The sequence below is a fragment of the Homo sapiens genome, chromosome 17 (assembly GCF_000001405.40).
Source record: "Homo sapiens chromosome 17, GRCh38.p14 Primary Assembly".
NCBI classification, from domain to species: Eukaryota; Metazoa; Chordata; class Mammalia; order Primates; family Hominidae; genus Homo; species Homo sapiens.
The window spans coordinates 46,915,691-46,935,980 of NC_000017.11; the positions used below are offsets into that span (position 1 = coordinate 46,915,691).

Below are 20,290 nucleotides of genomic sequence, written 5' to 3' on the forward strand. Positions count from 1 at the left end.
CAGTTGGTTTCTCTTCAGAGTACTCTGTGACCCACCTCTTGATCTGTGTGGTTGGCCAAATGCCCTGAGGCGGTTCAGGGCTCATGCCTATGGGGTTGTCCAGGGCAACCTGACAAGTAGATTGCTTCTGCTGACCAGCACAGTATTTATTTTATGGCATTGAACAATACTGGGCCACTAGAATGGTACTGATTGGCTAATTTGGGGTGATTCACATTGGATATATGAGTTCAGAACTCTGGGCTACTAACAGTTCACCACCAACCCTTGAGGTTGAGCCACCTGTGTGGGTCAATGCCCTGGCTCTCACCACATTTATGACCACAGTGCCACCTCTGACATGACACAATAATGAGAGTGGATGCATCCTTTAACCTGACTGCTGGGGTACCCCACCTCCAGCTGGTACAAGGTGTTCACCCCTCTCCAAGGCTTTGCAACACATGTCAGGCAATCCTCCAGAAGTGGCCACGCCTATCTTCTCCATTCAAGACCATTATGCTGTAAGGCCAACCAGCTTTTACAATCAATGTCCTCTCTTGCCTCTGATCAATATAGTGATCTCATGAGATACTGGGTTGGTTTTAAGCTGTTCCAGGTGAGGGCCAGATGTTCCTTACATGAATGGAACTTCTCTTCTTGCTCCACCCATGGGCCCTGAGCCTATCCACTCCCTCCCCTGACAACTGATTTCAGTGTGTGGAAGGCAGGGGTGCAGTCAACACTGAAAGAAATCACCTTCTAGGAATTCAGTGATTAAGGCCTAAAGAACTCAAGAGAAGATGTGGTTGGATGATATATTGTTGTAAACATACATATAAAACTCTGATCGGCGAAATTTTATTCACATTTTTCTGCATACTCTAAGCAAAACTTGCCATTGGTGTCATCACTAAAGAAGCACAGGAACAAACTTTGAGTTATGAAGCCAGTATTTGTACGTAGAGTGAAGAATTGTGCAGCATCATGAGTAATGATGTAACCAGCATTAAATAAATGGCATTATCAACACAACCAGCTGTCTTAGTCTATTTTCTGCTGCCATAATAGAATACCACACACTGGGTAATGTTTAAAGAAAAGACGTTTATTCAGCTCACAGTTCTGGAGGTTGGTAAGTCCAAGAGCATGGCACCGTCATCTGGTGAAGTTCATCCCATGATGGAAAAGTGAAAGGCAGAAGTTAGTACATGAAACAGACAGACAATGGCAGCCAAACTTATCCTTTTATCAGGAGTCCACTCCTGTAGTAACAACATCAATCCATTCATGAAGGCTCTGTCCTTGTGACCCAATTGCCTCCCAAAGGCCCCACCTTTCAGTACTGCCACAATGGCAGCCAAGTTTCCAACATATGAATTTGGGGGGGACACATTCAAAGCATAAAATTCTCCCCCTGCCCCCCAGCCAAATTTATGTCCTTCTCACTTGCAAAATGTATTCATTCCATCCCAATAGTCCCAAAAGTCTTAACTCAATCCAGCATCAACTCAAAAGCCTGAAGTCCAAAGTCTCATCTAAATCAGATATAGGTGAGACTCAAGGCATGATTCATCCCAAGGCAAATTCCTCCAGCTGTGAGCCTGTGAAATCAAAACAAGTTATCTTTTTCCAAACTACAATGGTGGTACAGGCATAGGATAGACATTCCCATTCCAAAAGTGAGAACTAGGCAAGAAAAGAAGGGTAACTGGTCCCAAGTAAGTCCAAAACCCAACAGGGAAAACAACATTAAGTCTTAAAGCTAGAGAATAATCTCTGATTCATGTCCCACTCCTGGACATGCTGGGAGGCTGGTTCCCCAAAGCTTTGGGCAGTCCCACCTCTACAGCCTTTCTAGGCTCGGTCCATGCAGCAGCTCTGATGGATTGAGTCTCCTGCCTACAGTTCCCAGGCTGGAGTTGCATACTGGTAGGACTACAGTTTTGTGGTCTTGGAGATGGCTCCATTCCCGCTGCTTCACTAGGCACTGCCCTACTGCAGACTATGTGGTGGCTCCAATCCCACATTTCCGCTTGGCGTTGCCCTAGTGGGGACTCTCTGCAGTACCAGCTTTAAATAAATAGCATTAGGAACTGGAGGGGCAAAGAAAGCTACATAGGCCAATACAAACAGGTTCTGAAGAGTCATGGTATTTGAATAACAATGTTGTTCCCCTTTTCTCATGTAGCCAGAAACTAGTGAGAAATAGCACATTTGACAATAACATAAAGAGATAGTTCCTGGACCCAGACAGAAAGCGATGGTGCCTGAACACTGTAAAGAATATTCACATGCACTTATTAGACAATAAACAAATATCTAAGTACTTTTCTCTACTAATTATTCTAAATCTTTGTTGTTAAATCACTATTCTTCACGAGTCCATGAATTTTATAACACAGTTTTGTTTGTTTGTTTGTTTTTTGATACGGAATCTCGCTCTGTCGCCCAGGCTAGAGTGCAGCGGCGCGATCTCAGCTCACCGCAACCTCCGCCTCCCGGGTTCAAGCAATTCTCCTGCCTCAGCCTCCCGAGTAGCTGGGACTACAGGCACGTGCCACCATGCCCAGCTAGTTTTTGTATTTTTAGTAGAGAAGAGGTTTCACCATGTTGGCCAGGAAGGTCTTGATCTCTTGACCTCGTGATCCGCCCACCTTGGCCTCACTAAGTGCTGGGATTACAGGCGTGAACCGCCGCCCCCGGCCTATAACACAGTTTTTAATCAAATTGCATATACAGACTGGGCCCACAAAAACATTTGCTTGGGGCTCCACAAAACCTAGATACAGTCCTGTCAACGTGATAGATAAATAGGTAGGTATGTAGGTATTAGGTTGGTGCAAAAGTAATTATGGTTTGCCATTAAAAGTAATTGCAAAACCACAATTATTTTTGCACCAACCTGATAGAGATATAGCAGGCAGACACACACACACACACACACACACACACACACACACACACACATACAATTTCCCAGAGCACTACTCACCAATGAAGTACTAATGAAATAGCTCCCCCTGAACCACAAGGGTCATTGGACTGCAGCTCCCTCCCTCCTACAGAATGAAGTCCAAGCTCCTTAGACTGACTTGGCCACAAGCTACCTTTCTGGCCTTGTCCTTTGTCTTTTTGTGCATTATGTTCTAGTAACTTCAAACTGCTTGTAGTTTCCCCTGCACATCATATATCTTTGCTTTTGTGTACGCTGTTTCCTCTTCCTGGGATGTTTTCCCCACTGGCCTTATCTTCCAAGATTCAGTTTAGGTATCATCTCCTCTTTGAATCTCTCTTGAGTCACCAAACTGGGCTAAGTGTTCCCTCCTTGTCATCCCACAGTTCCCAATTACTGTACCCCACACTCACCACATAGGATTCTAATTATCTGTATAGATGTTTACCTCCCAGTATATTAAAGAGCTTCTATGGTAAGGTGGTGTCTTACTCATCTTTGTATATCAGCCCTTGCATTGTGCTTGACACACAGTTATCAGCTCAATGAATCTATAATGTAGGATGATTTATGGAAGGAGACCAATGGACTAAGTCAAGTGGACTCTGGTGAGCCTAGAAAACGTTCTAGTAAAATGAAGGAGAGGCTGGAGGGTAAGTCATGCCAAGAGAATATCAGCAGTATATATCAATTATCCAAGTGGTTTAGCCATACAAGAAAAAGAAAAAATGGGATATAAGTTAAAAATGCAGTAAGCTGGAGAGTGGCATTTTCTTCTATTTAGAGGAAGGCCTAAATACGTATAAAGACTTAAGAGACTGAGAGGCAGAAGGGAGATCTTCTGGACTTCAATTTCCTTATCTGCCTTATCCACCTCCCAGGGATGCCATGAGACCCAAAGGAAAACAAGACATAGGCATGAAAATTATTTGAGAAATTTTTTACATTACTATCCTCTGATAGATTTTTCTGATAGCTTCCAACTACCCGCAGAATAAAAATCTATAAAGAAAAACCCAATCTGACATTTAAGATTTCCTGGCCAGGCGCAGTGGCTCACGCCTGTAACCCCAGCACTTTGGAGGCCAAAGCGGGTGGATCATCTGAGGTCGGGAGTTCGAGACCAGCCTGACCAACATGGTGAAACCCTGTCTCTACTAAAAATACAAAAATTAGCTGGGCGTGGTGGTGGGTGCCTGTAATCCTAGCTACTCGGGAGGCTGAGGCAGGAGAATTGCTTGAACCCAGGAGGCGGAGGTTGCAGTGAACCAAGATTGCACCATTGCATTCCAGCCTGAGCAACAGAGCGAGACTCCATCTCAAAAAAAAGAAAGAAAGAAAGAAAAAAAAATTCCTATGATCTCGTTCTAACCTTTCTTCGACTACTATTATTGCCCCAAACACCCTGAATCCAGCCAGAGGAGATTCATGTTCTTTCCTTCTGTTTGCCTTTGCTCAAGCTATTCCCTCAGCCTCAAATGCCCTCCTCTTCATCTCTACCAGGCAGACACAATAAACATTTTCAGAGTGGTTAGTATATACAAGACACTGTTAAAATTCTATTGATTCTTGAAGGTCTTATTCATATGCTATTTTGTCCATGAACCGTTCTTGCCCTTCCCACGGAAATGGTACTTTGTATCAATTGTAGCATGTATTCTACTTAATAATGTAGCTTGAGGGTATGATTAGTTCTCCCAACAGACCATGAGAGATATGGGAGGTTTTAGGGCTGTGTCTTGCTTGTGTTCCTATCTCCAGTATCTGTGCATGGTACATTGTAGATGCTCAATTATAGAAAAAGTGAAAAAAATAATTTTAGGAAAAGAATGTACATGGGTGGACAGTCTCTTGGGACACAAAACTGGGTGGGATCCAGGATCCAGGAAAAGAGAAGTATCAACTTGTCCAAGAAAAGAATGTCTCCTGCCTTGGGAGGAATAGTAGATAAGCTTGGAGGATGGAAACGGGATAGCCTATGTGGAGACAGAGAAGTGTCCAAACCCAGTCCCAGCTCAAATGCCACCCCTTCATTAAGTCTCTCCTAAATCTCCTCCTAGAGACGACCCCCAGCTCAGCTCAATCTCTTTGGATTTTCTACCTTCTAGAATGTTTGTCTTGATAAATAAAATTCATAGAAAGCCATTGGTTTGGACTGAGCTCCTGCACTAGGCGCAACAGGCCAAACCAAAATAGAGTCACTCATGCTAAAGTTCCAAGCCACAAAGCCAAAATTAAGCTGCTCATCTGACCTTAGGAGAAATCAGAAGAGAGGGAAAATAGCCATATCCCCATGATAAAGGAAGTCCCTTCTGCCTTAACCAATACAAGTAAAATAACTTTGAAACTTGTTCTTTGTTTCTGCTTTTTTTTTTCAGCCCTTTTCTGTCTATAAAGATAATCTCCTCTGCTCAGCTCATCAGAATACTCATTCTATTTTATAGAATAAGGTGTTGCCTGGTGCTAGAATCGCAAATAGCCAGTTAAGATCTGTAACTGTGTTGTATTAAAGGAGAGAAGGTTAGCACTCCCTTTGACAAGGATGGAAGAGGCCCTTGGGCCTGACAACACGCATACGGTTAAGGCATTACCACCTACTTCGTGGGATCTAACCATCGTTTTTGAAATGGTGCTGGGAAAACTAGCTAGCCATATGTAGAAAGCTGAAACTGGATCCCTTCCTTACACCTTATACAAAAATCAATTCAAGATGGATTAAAGACTTACATGTTAGACCTAAAACCATAAAAACCCTAGAAGAAAACCTAGGCAATACCATTCAGGACATAGGCATGGGCAAGGACTTCATGTCTAAAACACCAAAAGCAATGACAACGAAAGCCAAAATTGACAAATGGGATCTAATTAAACTAAAGAGCTTCTGCACAGCAAAAGAAACTACCATCAGAGTGAACAGGCAACCTACAGAATGGGAGAAAATTTTTGCAATCTACTCATCTGACAAAGAGCTAATATCCAGAATCTACAATGAACTCAAACAAATTTACAAGAAAAAAACAAACAACCCCATCAACAAGTGGGCGAAGGATATGAACAGACACTTCTCAAAAGAAGACATTTATGCAGCCAACAGACACATGAAAAAATGCTCATCATCACTGGCCATCAGAGAAATGCAAATCAAAACCACAATGAGATACCATCTCACACCAGTTAGAATGGCGACCATTAAAAAGTCAGGAAACAACAGCTGCTGGAGAGGATGTGGAGAAATAAGAACACTTTTACACTGTTGGTGGGACTGTTAACTGGTTCAACCATTGTGGAAGACAGTGTGGAGATTTCTCAGGGATCTAGAACTAGAAATACCATTTGACCCAGCCATCCCATTACTGGGTATATACCCAAAGGATTATAAATCATGCTGCTATAAAGACACATTTACATGTATGTTTATTGCAGCACTATTCACAATAGCAAAGACCTGGAACCAACCCAAATGTCCAACAATGACAGACTGGATTAAGAAAATGTGGCATATATACACCATGGAATACTATGCAGCCATAAAAAATGATGAGTTCATGTCCTTTGTAGGGACACGGATGAAGCTGGAAACCAACATTCTCAGCAAACTATCGCAAGGACAAAAAAACAAACATTACATGTTCTCACTCATAGGTGGGAACTGAACGATGAGAACACTTGGACACAGGAAGGGGGACATCACACTTCGGGGCCTGTTGTGGGGTGGGGAGAGGGGGAAGGGATAGCATTAGGAGATATACCTAATGTAAATGACGAGTTAATGGGTGCAGCACACCAACATGGCACATGTATACATATGTAACAACCCTGCACGTTGTGCACATGTACCCTAGAACTTAAAGTATAATAATAAAAAATAATAAAATAAAGAAAAAAAATCTATAACTACATTTCTTGTAATTTTGTCTTTTGAGAGTATACATATCTTATTTCCTTTCCCAGACCAGAACCTCTTTGAGGGCAGGAGGAACCCGGTTTTCCCTACTTTACACATGACACATAATAACCACTCATTCAATGTAGGTTTACTGGATGGATAAATAGGAATGGGGGGTAGATAGGCGGGAGAGTGAGTAGACAAATGCGAAACAGGAAAAGCTTGCGCCAGGAAAAACAGTGAAGAGCGAAATCTCCAGACCCCCGATTAAATGGTTTAAAGTGAAGCCAAGCAAGAACCTCCAGTCCTCTCTGCGGCAGAGAACAGCAGATGATAGCGGCTCGCCTTCAACTTTGCTCTGAGGACCTCTCGTTAGTATCCCGCGATTGTCCTTCCTAACGCCTGACTGAATCCTGAGGCTAGCCTTCAGCGAACATGTACACCGCCTTGCCCTTCACGTGAAGCCGAGCCTGTGACTACACTTATCCTTCCGTCGCCGGCCTCATTTCTCCTTCCCCTTCTCCGATCTCGCAACCACTGCTAGTAAGGCGCGCGTGCGGGCAGCCCTGGCCGGCAGGGGAGGGAGGGTCCTGCGACCGGAAGCCGGAAACCGGAAGGGGGGCTGTGAGGACGTGTTCCGAGGAAGCCAGAGCCGGAGCCGTGGCCTGCGGGGCCGGCGACATGGATCCCCTGTTCCAGCAAACGCACAAGTGAGGGCCGGTCGGGGAGCGGGCAGGGGCTAGACGAGGCGAGGCCAGGTGAGCCTGGCTTCTGGGGCTGAGGCCTCGGACGTCAGCCAGGGTAGAGGCCGAGTTTTTCCGCCAGGGCACTGCTGGGGATGCCTCCGAAGTGCTTAATCCTTGGCGGGACTCCCAGGTCAGCCACAGACAGTGGGTTCAGGCTGGGGCCTGGAGACGTGGGGCAGATGACTCCTGGGGTCTGCAAGTTCGTGACTACCTGCTGGGTAGACTGGGTGACGGGAAACTGGCACCTGCAGGTTATAAAACTTTGTCCAGCACTTGTCAACTCGGTGCTCCTGGTTGGTAGACCTCGAGAGGAGACACGGAGTAGGAGACACGGCCCCTGGCCGTAGGAGTGTACTGTTTAATTGGAGAGTCAGGGCACGTACGGGAAAGTATTTGTATTCTTATTCGATTTATACTAAAGACCACATTTTTATGGTACAAAGAAATTGCTGTCCACGTAGCATTCACTATTATTACTTGTTAATCGTATCTGGTTACAGGTTATCGCTAAGAAAATCAAATTGTAATTTAGTTTCTCATAACTTAAATTCCTTGGTAGTGTCCTTTATTCGCATCGTCCTGCACTTTCGGAATTGCTGAGATACGTAGTTGAGTATTAATGGGGCCATACTTACCCTATTTTTGGGGGCGGGGGGCAGAATTATGATTTTTACCCTGTTTTGGAGGGACGGAATTTTATGATTTTTATTTTTTATTGTAAAATATACACAACATAAGATTTACTGTTTTAACAATTTTTAAGTGTACAATTCAGTGACATTGAGTACATTCACAACTTACATCACTACGATCCATTTCCAGAACTTTTTCATCATCCCAGTGTGCCTGTTAATCAGTAGCACTTCATTTCTTCCTTCCAGAACACCTAGTAACCTCTGTTTTACTTCTCTCTATGAGTTTACCTATTCTAGATACTTAATATAAGTGGAGTCATACAGAATTTGTCCTTTTGTATCTGGCTTATTTCACTTAATGTTTTCAGGGTTCATCTATATTGTAGCCTGTTACCAGAATTTCATTCTGTTTTATGACGGAATAATATTCCGTTTTATGTGTCTACCACATTTTGTTATCCATTCATCTGTTGATGGACACTTGAGTTGTTTCCACCATTGGGCTGTTGAGAATAATACTGCTATGAACTCTGGTGTAGAAGTATCTGTTTTAGTTTCTCTTCTCAATTTTTTGAGGTATATACCTATCCTATTGAGAACTTTCAAACTTATGCTGTAGTTTTGTTGATTAAAACACTTAAAATCACACTCCCAAGGCCTGGAAATGAAATGCCCTGAAGCATGAGGAATAAGAGGGTGATGATCCTCTTTCTCTTTCATTTTCTAAGTTTATGGGTTTCTTTTATTTTGGCGATGAGGTGTTTCATTTGGACAGGCGAAAATACAGAACCTACTTTGTAATGACAGAATTTTCTTTTACACTGGGGAGCCCTATTCTCACATAAACGTTATAGGAAGGGACTTAAAACTAGTCTGTGAGTAATTTAGAGAAAGAATGAAACGAAATTATGTTCATGTTACTAAGAAAGGGCCTATCTTTCACAATAGCAGGGCACAATGGGCATAGTAGTGCCTTGAAGTTAATCTGTTATGTATGGTCTTATCTAGTTAATTTAGTTAAAGGATGTTGCCAAGAAGGCCATGACCCATTTTATATTCAAGAATAACTTTATTTAGAGAGTCTTAGACTACCTGTTTTCAGTGCAGCTAATCACAGAGAAAACTGCATGGCTCAGAAGAGGAATTCTAAATGGTACCCCAAACAAGGTGTGTGGAGTGTAGATGCTCTGTAGGCCTCCAACAATGCACCCTTGGACTCTAGCAGCTTGCCAGTTTTTTCTATTAAGGGCCAGATAGTAAATATTTTAGGCTCTGTGGGCTATACGGTCTCTGTAGTTACTACTCTGCTGTTATATTGGGAAAACAGCCATAGACAATATGTAAACTAATTGATGTACCTGTGTTCCAGTACAATTTTATTTATCAAAACAAGCAGTGGGCCAGCTTTGCCCCACAACTATTAGGCCCTCTGCTACCCCGACACTCATTAATTCATTGAATATTTATTGAGCACCTACTATGTGCTGTGCACCATTCTCAGTGCTGGCAGCACAGCCCTGCCCTCGAGGAGTTTACCTTCTTTTATGCTGCAGTATCTTGTCTATCTTTCCTCTCCAGTGCTGAACCAGGAGTGGGAGTTCTGGTTCTAGACCTCCTTACTTTATTTTTCCTCATCTGTAGAATGATATTATAATTTGGGCTGGTTAAACTGTAAGGCTCCTTTCAGTTCCATGATAACAGAACTGATGACTGAATGACTTTCACAAGAAACACGTGGAGTCCAGTGAGCACCAGCAATGAACTTTCGCAACTGCAGAAATTAGTGATTGTAGCTGAGTTGACACAACAGTAGCTGAACTTATTAATTTTACTGGAACTTTGAACCCAGTTTGTGATTATCTCTTGCCGTGTCACTGAATACATTGAGTACATTGGAATTAGATTGACATATTAAAGTTACTTGAAAACTCCTGAACCTACCTGAACAATGAATGAATGAAAATAATGAATGAATGAAAACAATAAACATTTTACACTTAAATGTTTAATTTAGATGAACTTTATAGAGGAGCTAATAGCCAGGCTTCTATTTTTGAGATCCCAATGGTTGTAAAGGTGACCACATTTGTCCCCTATGTAGTCCAAGATCAGTCTCCTGTCCTGGACCTTATCGTATGTCCAGGACACAAGAAGCACTACATTTAACAAGCTCCCTAGGTGGTTTTGATGAGCAGGTAGGCTTAAGAACTGTTACCTTATCTCAAGACCATTTTTTTTCCTGAACAGCGGAGCTTAAGAACTATTACCTTATCTCAAGACCATGTTTTTCCTTTATAGATTTTGCCCTTTAATGAGCGAAATGTAAAGGCAAAGTGAGTGAAATGAAAATGACCAGATTGTTGCCACTACTTTTAAGTAAAGTTAACAACAAACTTACATGATGCTGTGTAGGTTACACAGCGTTTTCATGTTCATCATGGTCAGAGGCAGCCTGGATGCAAAGTGGATGTTATGGGGTGGTGGGGGGCGGTGAGTAGTTTCATGAACTTTTAAAAAGCACTTCCATTAAAAAATTCTTCCTAGATCTTCTGTAAACCTTTTTTAAAGACGGCTACAATGACCCTGGCTTATTTGCTACTATTTCTCTGCTTTGTTATATTATCACCCAAGCCCACCATGGACCCCATGCTAGAGAGGGCTAAGACTTCTTTTTCCTCATGTCCACGCTCCCAAGTCATGCTTGTGTATCACCTGTTTCTTATGGACTTCCAGTGTGTTATGTTGTGTTAGAATTCCCAGTTCAGTTTGAGACAGATTTTGCACTTGGCATATTAGTAGTTCCCACCTTGCCATTCATACTTGCTTTGTTGTTTCATATTTATGTTTTCTTAGCATGAAATGTAGCCGCTGGAATTGTATTATTGGCCACATTGTCTCTGATTGGTTCAAAGCAAATAGAGATTTGATGGGAAAAGTCAGTGGATTATGGGCCTGTACAAAAGTGCTTTGATGAACGTCCTGCCATGTACATCTCCTCAGGGTATGCCAGAACCTCTCTAGGACACATTCCTCAAACTGCTGGGTCATAGCATGGACACATGCTTTATTCTACTAGTTATTGTCAGAAAGCATTTAAAGTGTTTTACCAATTTATAATCCTACCAGCTGGGTATGAGAGTTCTAGTTTCCCTGTTTCCTTATTAATGCATATGTCCCCAAACTTTAAAATATTTGTCAGTTTGATGGGCTGAAGAAATGTGATCTCATTGCTTTTCATTTGTGTTTTCCTAGTTGAGTGTCATTTTGTATATTGATTGACCATTTGGGTTTTCTTTTCTGTCATTTGCCCTTTTTTCATTTAAAAAAAATGCCTTGTTTGACTTTTTGTATTGATTTGTAACAATTCTTTATATATTTTCTGCACGTCAATCCTTTGTTATCTGCTGCAGATACCCTCCAGTCTGTGCCATTCATTTGTTTATTTTGTGGCTTTGGTGTACAGAAGTTTTTTGTTTTCATGTTGTCAGATGTATCCATCTTTTTCTTTGTGGTTTGTGGGTTTTGTGGGGGTGGGTAGTTTTTGGATTTTGTCTTATTTAAGAAATCTTCTGTAACCCGAGGTCATTTATGCACACCTGTATTTTCTTCAGAAAGTTTGAAAGCTGCTCTGCTTTTTCCATTTGGGTTTTAAGTGAGCTTGAGTTTATTTTTATGTGTTACCTGAGGTGGCCTTTTTCTGTACGGGTAACAAACCGGAGCTGTTGGCATTTATTGTAGTCCCTTCTTTCAAAAGCTCCCAAATAACGTGGGGCTGTGTCTAGGCTGTTTCTTTCCTCTTGGGCCAGCTGTAGGGTTTGCCTTTCCTTGTCTGTCTGCACCTGCACTGCCGCCATATTGTTTCCATTGTTACTGCTTTGTAAGTCATAATGGCAGGTGGGACAAGTCATTCCTCCCCCTCCTTCTTCAGAGTGGTCTTGGCTATTCTTTACCTCCCCCCTTTTTATTATGTCACTGTTCGTGTTGATCATATTACCAACTTTCAGATTTTTCTGTTAAATCAGCATTGAAAATTTACCTCACAGCCTGCGTCAGGACTTCCTTAGAGTCCTAATTCTCCTTTCTGTCCCCGTTACCCTCCGGTCCCCTGTACCTGTTCCCTTGGTTGCCCTGCTTCAGGTGTCGGCTACCTCAGGCTGCATTCCTACATCAGCCCCCATACCTCCACACCCCCGCATCATCCCACAATATCCCAGACTTACTTTCCGGAAGCAACGGCCTGGTCTCGGACTCTAGCAGTGATTTCTAGTTGCTTCTCAGGGCCACAGGTCTTGCCTAGGAGCACCCTGGGGAGTCATTTGACAGCTCACCCAGCTTCTTTTGGTGCCCGAGGGCATATCTGGAGGCCATAGGGAAGCCCTGGAAAAGACTGGGCACAAGCTGAAGCCAAAGTTGGGTGCCTGGCTGGCATTGGTAGATTTGGGGTCCTGGTTTGCATTGCTCACGATGCAGAATGGTTGCTGACCTTTCCTCCAGCGTTGGGGATGATGTGAGAGTCCAGCAGGCCCCCTTCATGTGGGCCCTAACTTGGGGAAATCTCCACCGTGAGCACCGGGAAGTGGATGGTGGGGCCAGCATAAGCAGTATCCCGAGGACTGATCATGGAGGACCATTAGGAAGGGGGTCTTAAGGATGACCTTGGCCAGACCGTGGGAAGCCTCCAGAGAGTGTTACCCAGATCCAGGGTACAGTGTTGCATTTCCAAATGAGATGGCAGTTCCTTCGTTCCTTGATATTGTCGGAGAAGGATGTTTACCAAACAGAAGGTCCCTGTCTCAGGGTCTTCCTCTGAATGGTTTCCTCCAGTGAGTCACTTCAGCATCCTCTCCCCCAACCCGATTCCCTTTCAAGCAGCCCACCCTACTTGTAATCCACATGTCTTGAATGAATTTTTGCATATCATTTTCTTCTATCTTCCTTCACCAAATGATGTCTCCCTTCTTCACAGCGATGCTCAGAACTCTTTCCATCCACATAACTTACCTGGTTTCTCTTTCTCAGCCCCACCCCTCTGTCTGCTTGCCTGTGACACCACTGTGCAGAGCTGCCCCTCTTTCTGTTTGTTTATACTTATGTGTATTGCTTTTCTCGTGAATCTTCCCAGGGCTTGTTCATGTCTGTTTAGCCTGTCATTCCTCATTATGTTGTTTCTCAAGGACAAGGATTATATCTCCCTCGCCCTTTGACTCTTCCTGGTACAGGCCAGTGCTTAGCACATTAGGTCGTAGAACAGAAAGTAGGATTGGCCGGGTTCAGTTTGAGGTTTATCACTTGCTGTGTGATCTTGAACAAGTTACATAACCTTTCTGGGCTTCAGTTTTTATAAAATGAGGATGATAATGGTACTTTCCTCATAGGGTTATTGATTTGGCAGAGTATCTTGGATATGGTAAGCACCCATAATCTGCCTATCAGTGTTATTGTTAGTAGTTAAGATATTAGAAACCATGCCAAAACGTGGGACCTAAAGTGCCACATACAAATTTTACAGTTCAGTGATGCTGTCGATTTAAATCAGTTACATGTTGGCATCAGAAAAATTGTCTTTCCTGACTGAAGCGCTGTTGATTACTCCTGTCTCACTCATTTCCTCCCTCTTCCTTTGATAGGCAGGTCCACGAGATCCAGTCTTGCATGGGACGCCTGGAGACGGCAGACAAGCAGTCTGTGCACAGTGAGTAATTAACTGTGGAGACCAGAGTCCTTTCTCTGATGACAGGGTGCTAATGGGCTGGGCTTCCTGACTGCACTCTGCCTTGGGGGCTTAATGATTCAGCGTGGAATGAGTTTTGTTGTTAGGGTGGACAGAAAAACCCTATGGCAAAGTCACTGATTTCCCTGAGTGTGCCCTTTGGAATCCCACAAGTCTTATCCCCCATTACCCCTCCACTCAACCTGACATGGCCCTATGGGAATGGAAGCGCTTGCCTCCATCTATCTTAATCTAATTACCTAGTCCTTAGAGGAATGTACTCCATAAAAATTCAGAGATGTTTAACTGGAATTGGCCATTTCTTCTGAGCTGAGAACTGTGGCTTTTTAGGAGGATTATTCAGAAACGAACAGCAATATTAATTAGTTTAGTTCCCACAGCATGGTTTCTTTTGAGAAGCATGCTGGTTTTTTGTTTTTTTTCATTTTTTTTTTTTTTTTCTATTCTGAGGAAAGGTCCTTTTTCTGAGTTGGTCATATGGACACCACCTGCGGGGGCTGCCTACCCACCCCACTGCTGGGCTCCCTCAGGACCCATTCCTCCTGTTCTCTCATGTCTCCTTTCGCAGCTTCAAAAGCAGCTCTGTTCTTGGTTCTGTGCCCCACCTTGTTCTAATCTCAACTGTCTTTGTTCACTGTGGGCACAAAGGGCTAGGAAGGGGCAGTGTCACTGCTGTCACTTCTTTATGGGGCAAGAAGCAGTCTGGATGCTTTCTTTTGTGCACAGTTTAGCTTCTTTGTTCATCGGACTTTGTTTGCCTTCTCAGCAATCTCATTGTTACATGATTAGAAATGGAAAGAGGTCATTTTGACTGTCTTATCGAAAGGGATAGGGAAAATGACCGTATTTATCGTATCTCTTTACCTCTGTGGATTCTTTCCTGGGCCTTTCCTATTGATATTTGGTTTATTTTGGGGACGTCAACATTGCTCAGCCCACCCATTCTTACAGAAAGCTTTAAGGGAAGAAAGCCTTAAGGGAACTCTTCTCTGTATGTTTCACATACTAATCTTCCCCTTCCTTTATGCTTTTTTTTTTTTAAATAAAAAAAAAAAAACTCATTACTATAGGGAATTCAATTGGCAGCCTTTTTCTAGGTATTTATAATCCACGTCTGAGAATCCCAAAGGAAAAGAGACCTATATCAGAAAATTTAGCTTAAAGTATTTATTTGGACAACCTTTGCATGTTTATTTTCTAAAGGTAGGAAATTTATTTCTACAGATTTACCTTCAGCTTTTTTAAAAAATTGGCATTGTTATGTCATTAACAGCTATATACATGTACTTTTTTCAAAACAACATTTACGGCCTAACTTGAATTTTTTCTGTTATTCATTAGTGTATACATTTTTCTCCTTTTGAAATATGTAGTTCTAGTTTATTGGATATTGAAAAAAAAATCTGTGATTTATCATTGTAATTTAAGTTCACTATCTCTTTTCCAGCAATTATTCTTTTTTCTTTTTTGTACAGTAGTAGAAAACGAAATCCAAGCAAGCATAGACCAGATATTCAGCCGTCTAGAACGTCTGGAGATTTTGTCCAGCAAGGAGCCCCCTAACAAAAGGCAAAATGCCAGACTGTAAGTGCTGACCTCTGACATGGCTCTGATACTCCAGGCCCATCAAGACAGGCTTTTCTCCCTGGGGGAGGTGATAGAATATTCTGAAAACCAACGTACATGTTGAAAAACTATGACTATGCAAAGAAAAAGCCCCCTCAAAGGGCACAATTCTATCTGAGTGATGCCGCTCAAAATAAATAGCCTGTGAGGTTTGTGACTCAGAAACCTTGTGACCCCTTACCTCTTTGGTGTCATTTTGAAATTTTGCCTCCAGTTCTGTTTTTTGACTAGATCCATAGCCACCTGAAGCCTAATGTTGCCATGGAGTTTTGTTCTGCTCTTTGGTTCCTGCTGGGTTCTTCTTGGGTTGAAATGAAAAATCACTTCAATCAGTCCACCCATAATGAAATGCTGATCTAATGTTTGATACTCCAGCATGAAATTAAAATGAAACCACCCTTGCCACCTCCACCCCCAGCGCCTGTTTCCAAAAGTTTTATGAAACTTTGTGGATGCTTTACCTCAAAGATGCCCTTGGGCTTCTTCCAGGAGAGCCATATAATCCATAGAAGGTCAAGAAGAGGTCAGTGAGCCTGCTTCCTGTCCCCTGTTCTCTGTCATGCATCCAGAATCAGAGCAACAGATTCTGAAGTCAAGCTGCTGGAATCTTGTGTGCTACCATCTCACTTTAACCACAAGTTTCTTCTTGACTTTCAACATCGTTGATCAAAATTAGATCTTGTGGTGAGGGGGTATAGTGTGGGGTGGTGTAGGGAGAAGTAAGGAAACGCCGTCTTTCCTCAGTACAAAGCCTGGCCCCCTCAGATTCTGCTGCCCTGAGTTCCTGGAATTTAATCTCTCTCTCCATCAATTCCAGTCGGGTTGACCAGTTAAAGTATGATGTCCAGCACCTGCAGACTGCGCTCAGAAACTTCCAGCATCGGCGCCATGCAAGGGAGCAGCAGGAGAGACAGCGAGAAGAGCTTCTGTCTCGAACCTTCACCACTAACGTAAGCCAGGCCCGTGGTGAGGGTCGGCCTGCACTTGACAGATCGTGGGGGCTGGAGTTCAGATCTCTGAGCGCCATCTGTTTTGGGGGTGTCTGAAGAAGACTGATGATGAGGAAACCAACTGGAAATGACAGGAACTTTGTGCATTGCCACAGAGACTAGACCTAGACAGAGAATCCCTTTTTCTAAGACAAAAACCTGAAGAGGAAGCAGTTAAATTGAAGGGGAATAGGCAGAGGTGAAAATTACCTGGTTGGGCTGGTCTGAGACAGAAAGGTGGAAGTTCACATGGTGGAAACGTTTTTCTGATCAGATAGAGACAGATGATTAGAACTTAGGCCATTTGTAGAGAAGGCAGCATTTCAAAGCTGCCTGCGGGCAGTTGCCATTGTGCCGAGTATGTGTGTGGCTCCAGTGTCAGGTGCATTAAGATGTTTTTGCCCCTAGTCTGAGCAGCAATTTGGAGGAATTTGTTAACAGATGTTTAGGGTTAGATGGACTGCTTGCCTGAGTCTGTCTGAAAGTGTGTTGGTTTGCATGTTTGATTTTTCAGAACCCATTGTCCCTGCCCTTTAGTCTTAACCAGATCATTTCCTGCACATGGCTGTAGAACATACTGGCCTTTTCTGTGTCCTGCATAATATATTCCACTAAATGAAGTGTGCTTTGGCTTTTTGTATTTTGTTTTTTTACAGAGGATTATTTTCTAAAGAGATGTTAGCTTTCTAAGCCAGTTGTTAAAATTCACATCATTTCCTGCTTTGTAGATGTTTAACCCTCAATGCTGCATCCTTGCTTTGCAATAAATTTTCCCAAGTGTTTCAGGCTGTGCCAACATAGTTTTTGCTTCCCCAGACTAAGCAGTCAAGTTACAGTGTTTAACAGTTCAAAAATTTAATGAACTATAAGACACACTAAAAGATGTTTGGATTTTAGATCGTTATAATGTAGTATTCAGGCCTTTTTTAGGCCAAGGATGATCGCTTGGGATTATTTTGTTTTTTGCCAGCCTGGCGTGATGCTGTGCACACCGTCAGTTCTTAATAAACATTGACTTGCCAGATGAAACTTCTTCCTGGTCATTCTACCATATGGAGCTATAATACATTTTTCTGAGAGATAATGGCCCATCAGCCATACTGTTTTAGATGGGAGGGTAAGAAAGATTTGTATGTGAATGGCATTTCATAAGTGCTAGTCAAATTACTGAAGAGAAGTCTCTGAGTCTTTCAAACGCCAGCATCTTCTGACACACTGGGCATTAGCTGCATGCAGAAAACTAGTTAATTCAGGCACTAGGAGTAAAGCACATGATGAAATTAAAAGACCTGACGCCTATCTGTGAGGAGCTCCCCTGTTAGCAGGGGCAGTTGAAAACACGTATGTGCAAAATGATTCCAAATCTGAGCAGCAAAGAAACAGTGGCATAACCTTTTTTTTTTTTTTGGACAATTGAAACTGGAATTTAGGTGGTAAAAACAGCACTAGTGGAGCAGGGCACAATGACACACGCCTGTGATCCCAGCACTTTGGGAGACCAAGGCAGTGGATTGTTCAGGAGTTCACCATCCTGGGTGACATGGTGAGACATTGTCTCTACAAAAAAATATAAAAATTAGCCGGGCGTGGTGGCGTGAGCCTGTGGTCCCAACTACTCTCTGGAGCCTGAGGTGAGAAGATCACTTAAGCCTGGTAGGTCAAGGCTGCTCTCTATCCTGGGTGACAGAGTGAGAGCCTGTCTCAAAAAAAAAAAAAACACGAAACAAACCCCAGCACTACTTGGCAGGAGAGCTTGTGATTGGCAGAAAAGAGAAGGGAACGCTCTCACAGCTGGCGAGGACTTGGCTCCTGCCTATAGTCCACTTTCAGAGCAAAAGTAGAGCCACCAGGATGGGCGTTGGTGTTTCCCTCTACAGTGTGGGTAACAGGGCAGGCCCTGCGCTCAGTACCCACATTCCCAGCTCCACTGGACTTCCAGCTCTGTGATCACTGGACACACTTCCAGCTGTGTGATCTTGGACAAGTTATTCTACCTCTCTGGGCATTTTTTCATCTATAAAATGGGGAGGCCTGTGGACAGATTCCTTGAGCACAGGAGTTGGAGACCAGCCTGAGCAACATGGTGAAACCCTGTCTCTACCAAAAATACAAAAAAGAGAAAGAAAGAAAGAAAAAAGCTGGGCATGGTAGCATGCACCTATGGTCCCAGCTACTCAGAAGGCTGAGGTGGGAGAATTGTTTGAGTCCAGGAGGCTAAGGTTGCAGTGAGCTGAGATCGCGCCACTGCACTCCACCCTGGGTGACAGAGGGAAACCCTGTCTCAAAAAAAAAGAAAATGCAGAAGCACAGCCTCCTCTATCCTTAGTTAACTCTCAGTCTACTTGGAGAGGTAAACTATAGATAAAATAGCTAAAGGACACGAGCAAACATTTAACACTGCATTAAGGGGAAGCCATGGAAAGGAACATTTGGAACCAGCTAGGTTAGTGAGTAGTCAGAGAAAGCCTTTAGGAGACACCCAATGAGGTCTTGAAGGAATAGCTTTTCCTAAGAGGAGATCATGATACAGAGACAAGTATCGTTGGAATGAACGATACTTGTGGAGTGGAACTCATTTGGAGAGTGACAGATCTGAGGAAGTTCCTCTTCTGTGTGGACAGAGGCCACCCCAGGCCTTTGCTTTGCTTTTTCTTATCCATTAGGGTCCGCTGATTCTTTCACCAGCCCCTCCGGCTGTTCTGGCTTGGCCTTGGCCAAAAGACAGAGCAGTGAGACCCCAGGAACTGACTGATAAGCAAAGTTAATCAAGTGCCTGTGTTTCTTTCACAGGACTCTGACACCACCATACCAATGGACGAATCACTGCAGTTTAACTCCTCCCTCCAGAAAGTTCACAACGGCATGGATGACCTCATTTTAGATGGGCACAATATTTTAGATGGACTGAGGACCCAGAGACTGACCTTGAAGGTGGGGTCCCTGCTGGGGGACAGAGAGAAGGCCTCTTGTTTTAGCCTCATCCAACAGTTTAGTAACTGTGTTTATATTTTGATTACGTGTCCTCAAATTGTGATATTTTGATGACAAGACAGAGCCCTTGAGTTTGGGATCCTTTCTGTTGGAGTTGAGTTATTGTGAGCCTGAAAGTACCCAGTTCCTTTGCCAGTGCTTGAAACAAACCATGAAGTGGCCTCTCTTAGGATCCAGGTCTTTTCCCATTTACTGAACTTATCATGAAAGTGAGTGCTACTACGAGGGGTCCAATCACAGGCTGAGAAATTGTGTTACAGAATCTACTCTTGGAAGAATGAAGACGTGGCTGTCCTTTGGTACCTCGCTTTAAGGTGGCTTTCCCTTAGGACCCCTACTGTGGACTGCCTTATAACTAAAACCTTTTGTATTTTAGTAACTGAATCCCCACTGTGCAGTGTTAGGGCTGCCTGGTTGTTTGCAGTAGATTAGAGCTTTAGAAGCTTCTAGAGCTTCTAAAGCCCGTGCTGGTGATCCCAGCGACTCTTCACTCCCTAGCCTTAGGTATTCCTAGAAGCCCTGACCAGTTGGCACTGCTGAGACTCCAGCCCCTGGGAGTGGTTTACAGAAACATTACACAGACTCTGATGTCAGTCATGATGTTTCAGCCTCTGCCCTTTTCCTGTATCAACCCTGATGGATAATAGGGCGTGGGTTCTGTCTGTTATCAGGGTGTGGTCCCCTGTGAATGAAGCACTCCCAGCCACTGAGCTGTGAGAAACAGTCACTCGGAAGTGTGAGCTTTATCTTA

At 43.4% G+C, this 20,290-nt stretch overlaps 2 protein-coding genes, 1 long non-coding RNA gene and 1 pseudogene across 36 annotated transcripts in view, besides 2 other annotated features; 3 read left to right on the forward strand and 1 right to left on the reverse strand.

Moving 5' to 3' along the window:
• LRRC37A2 (leucine rich repeat containing 37 member A2) overlaps window positions 1–20,290 on the forward strand; it is a 676,337-nt gene that overhangs the window by 542,899 nt on the left and 113,148 nt on the right. The window lies entirely within an intron of this gene.
• GOSR2-DT (GOSR2 divergent transcript) lies at window positions 1,067–7,181 on the reverse strand. Its single transcript, NR_186460.1, has 3 exons — window positions 7,121–7,181; window positions 1,475–1,583; window positions 1,067–1,141 (listed from the first exon to the last, which is right to left on the reverse strand). It is a non-coding gene; the product is annotated as a GOSR2 divergent transcript (long non-coding RNA).
• RNU6ATAC3P (RNA, U6atac small nuclear 3, pseudogene) lies at window positions 5,434–5,558 on the forward strand (annotated as a pseudogene).
• Window positions 7,446–8,170: an enhancer, noted in NCBI's record as "NANOG-H3K27ac-H3K4me1 hESC enhancer chr17:45000502-45001226 (GRCh37/hg19 assembly coordinates)". NCBI's record gives its function as "activates a minimal SCP1, AML or CMV promoter by ChIP-STARR-seq in primed H9 embryonic stem cells {active_cell/tissue: H9 hESC(primed)}" and the evidence as "EXISTENCE:reporter gene assay evidence [ECO:0000049][PMID:30033119]".
• Window positions 7,470–20,290, forward strand: part of GOSR2 (golgi SNAP receptor complex member 2) — a 52,731-nt gene continuing 39,910 nt past the window's right edge. For 14 of the 34 annotated variants that reach the window (NR_148349.2, XR_007065552.1, XR_007065553.1 and 11 more), the window contains exons 1-5: window positions 7,470–7,531; window positions 13,830–13,894; window positions 15,409–15,517; window positions 16,377–16,509; window positions 19,339–19,479. Coding sequence is in view for 28 of the 34 variants with exons in the window: in XM_017025383.3 (XP_016880872.1) it covers window positions 7,503–7,531; window positions 13,830–13,894; window positions 15,409–15,517; window positions 16,377–16,509; window positions 19,339–19,479 (477 nt within the window). In the remaining 6 variants the exon portion in view is untranslated. Of the gene's footprint in view, window positions 7,943–13,829; window positions 13,895–15,408; window positions 15,518–16,376; window positions 16,510–19,338 lie in introns of all 34 variants that reach the window. The other 20 variants (NR_148350.2, NR_148351.2, XM_017025386.2 and 17 more) reach the window with 8 other exon arrangements.
• Window positions 15,288–16,487: an enhancer, noted in NCBI's record as "BRD4-independent group 4 enhancer chr17:45008344-45009543 (GRCh37/hg19 assembly coordinates)". NCBI's record gives its function as "activates an origin of replication core promoter dependent on BRD2, P300/CBP, MED14 and CDK7 cofactors, and independent of BRD4, by STARR-seq in HCT116 cells {active_cell/tissue: HCT116}" and the evidence as "EXISTENCE:reporter gene assay evidence [ECO:0000049][PMID:35650434]".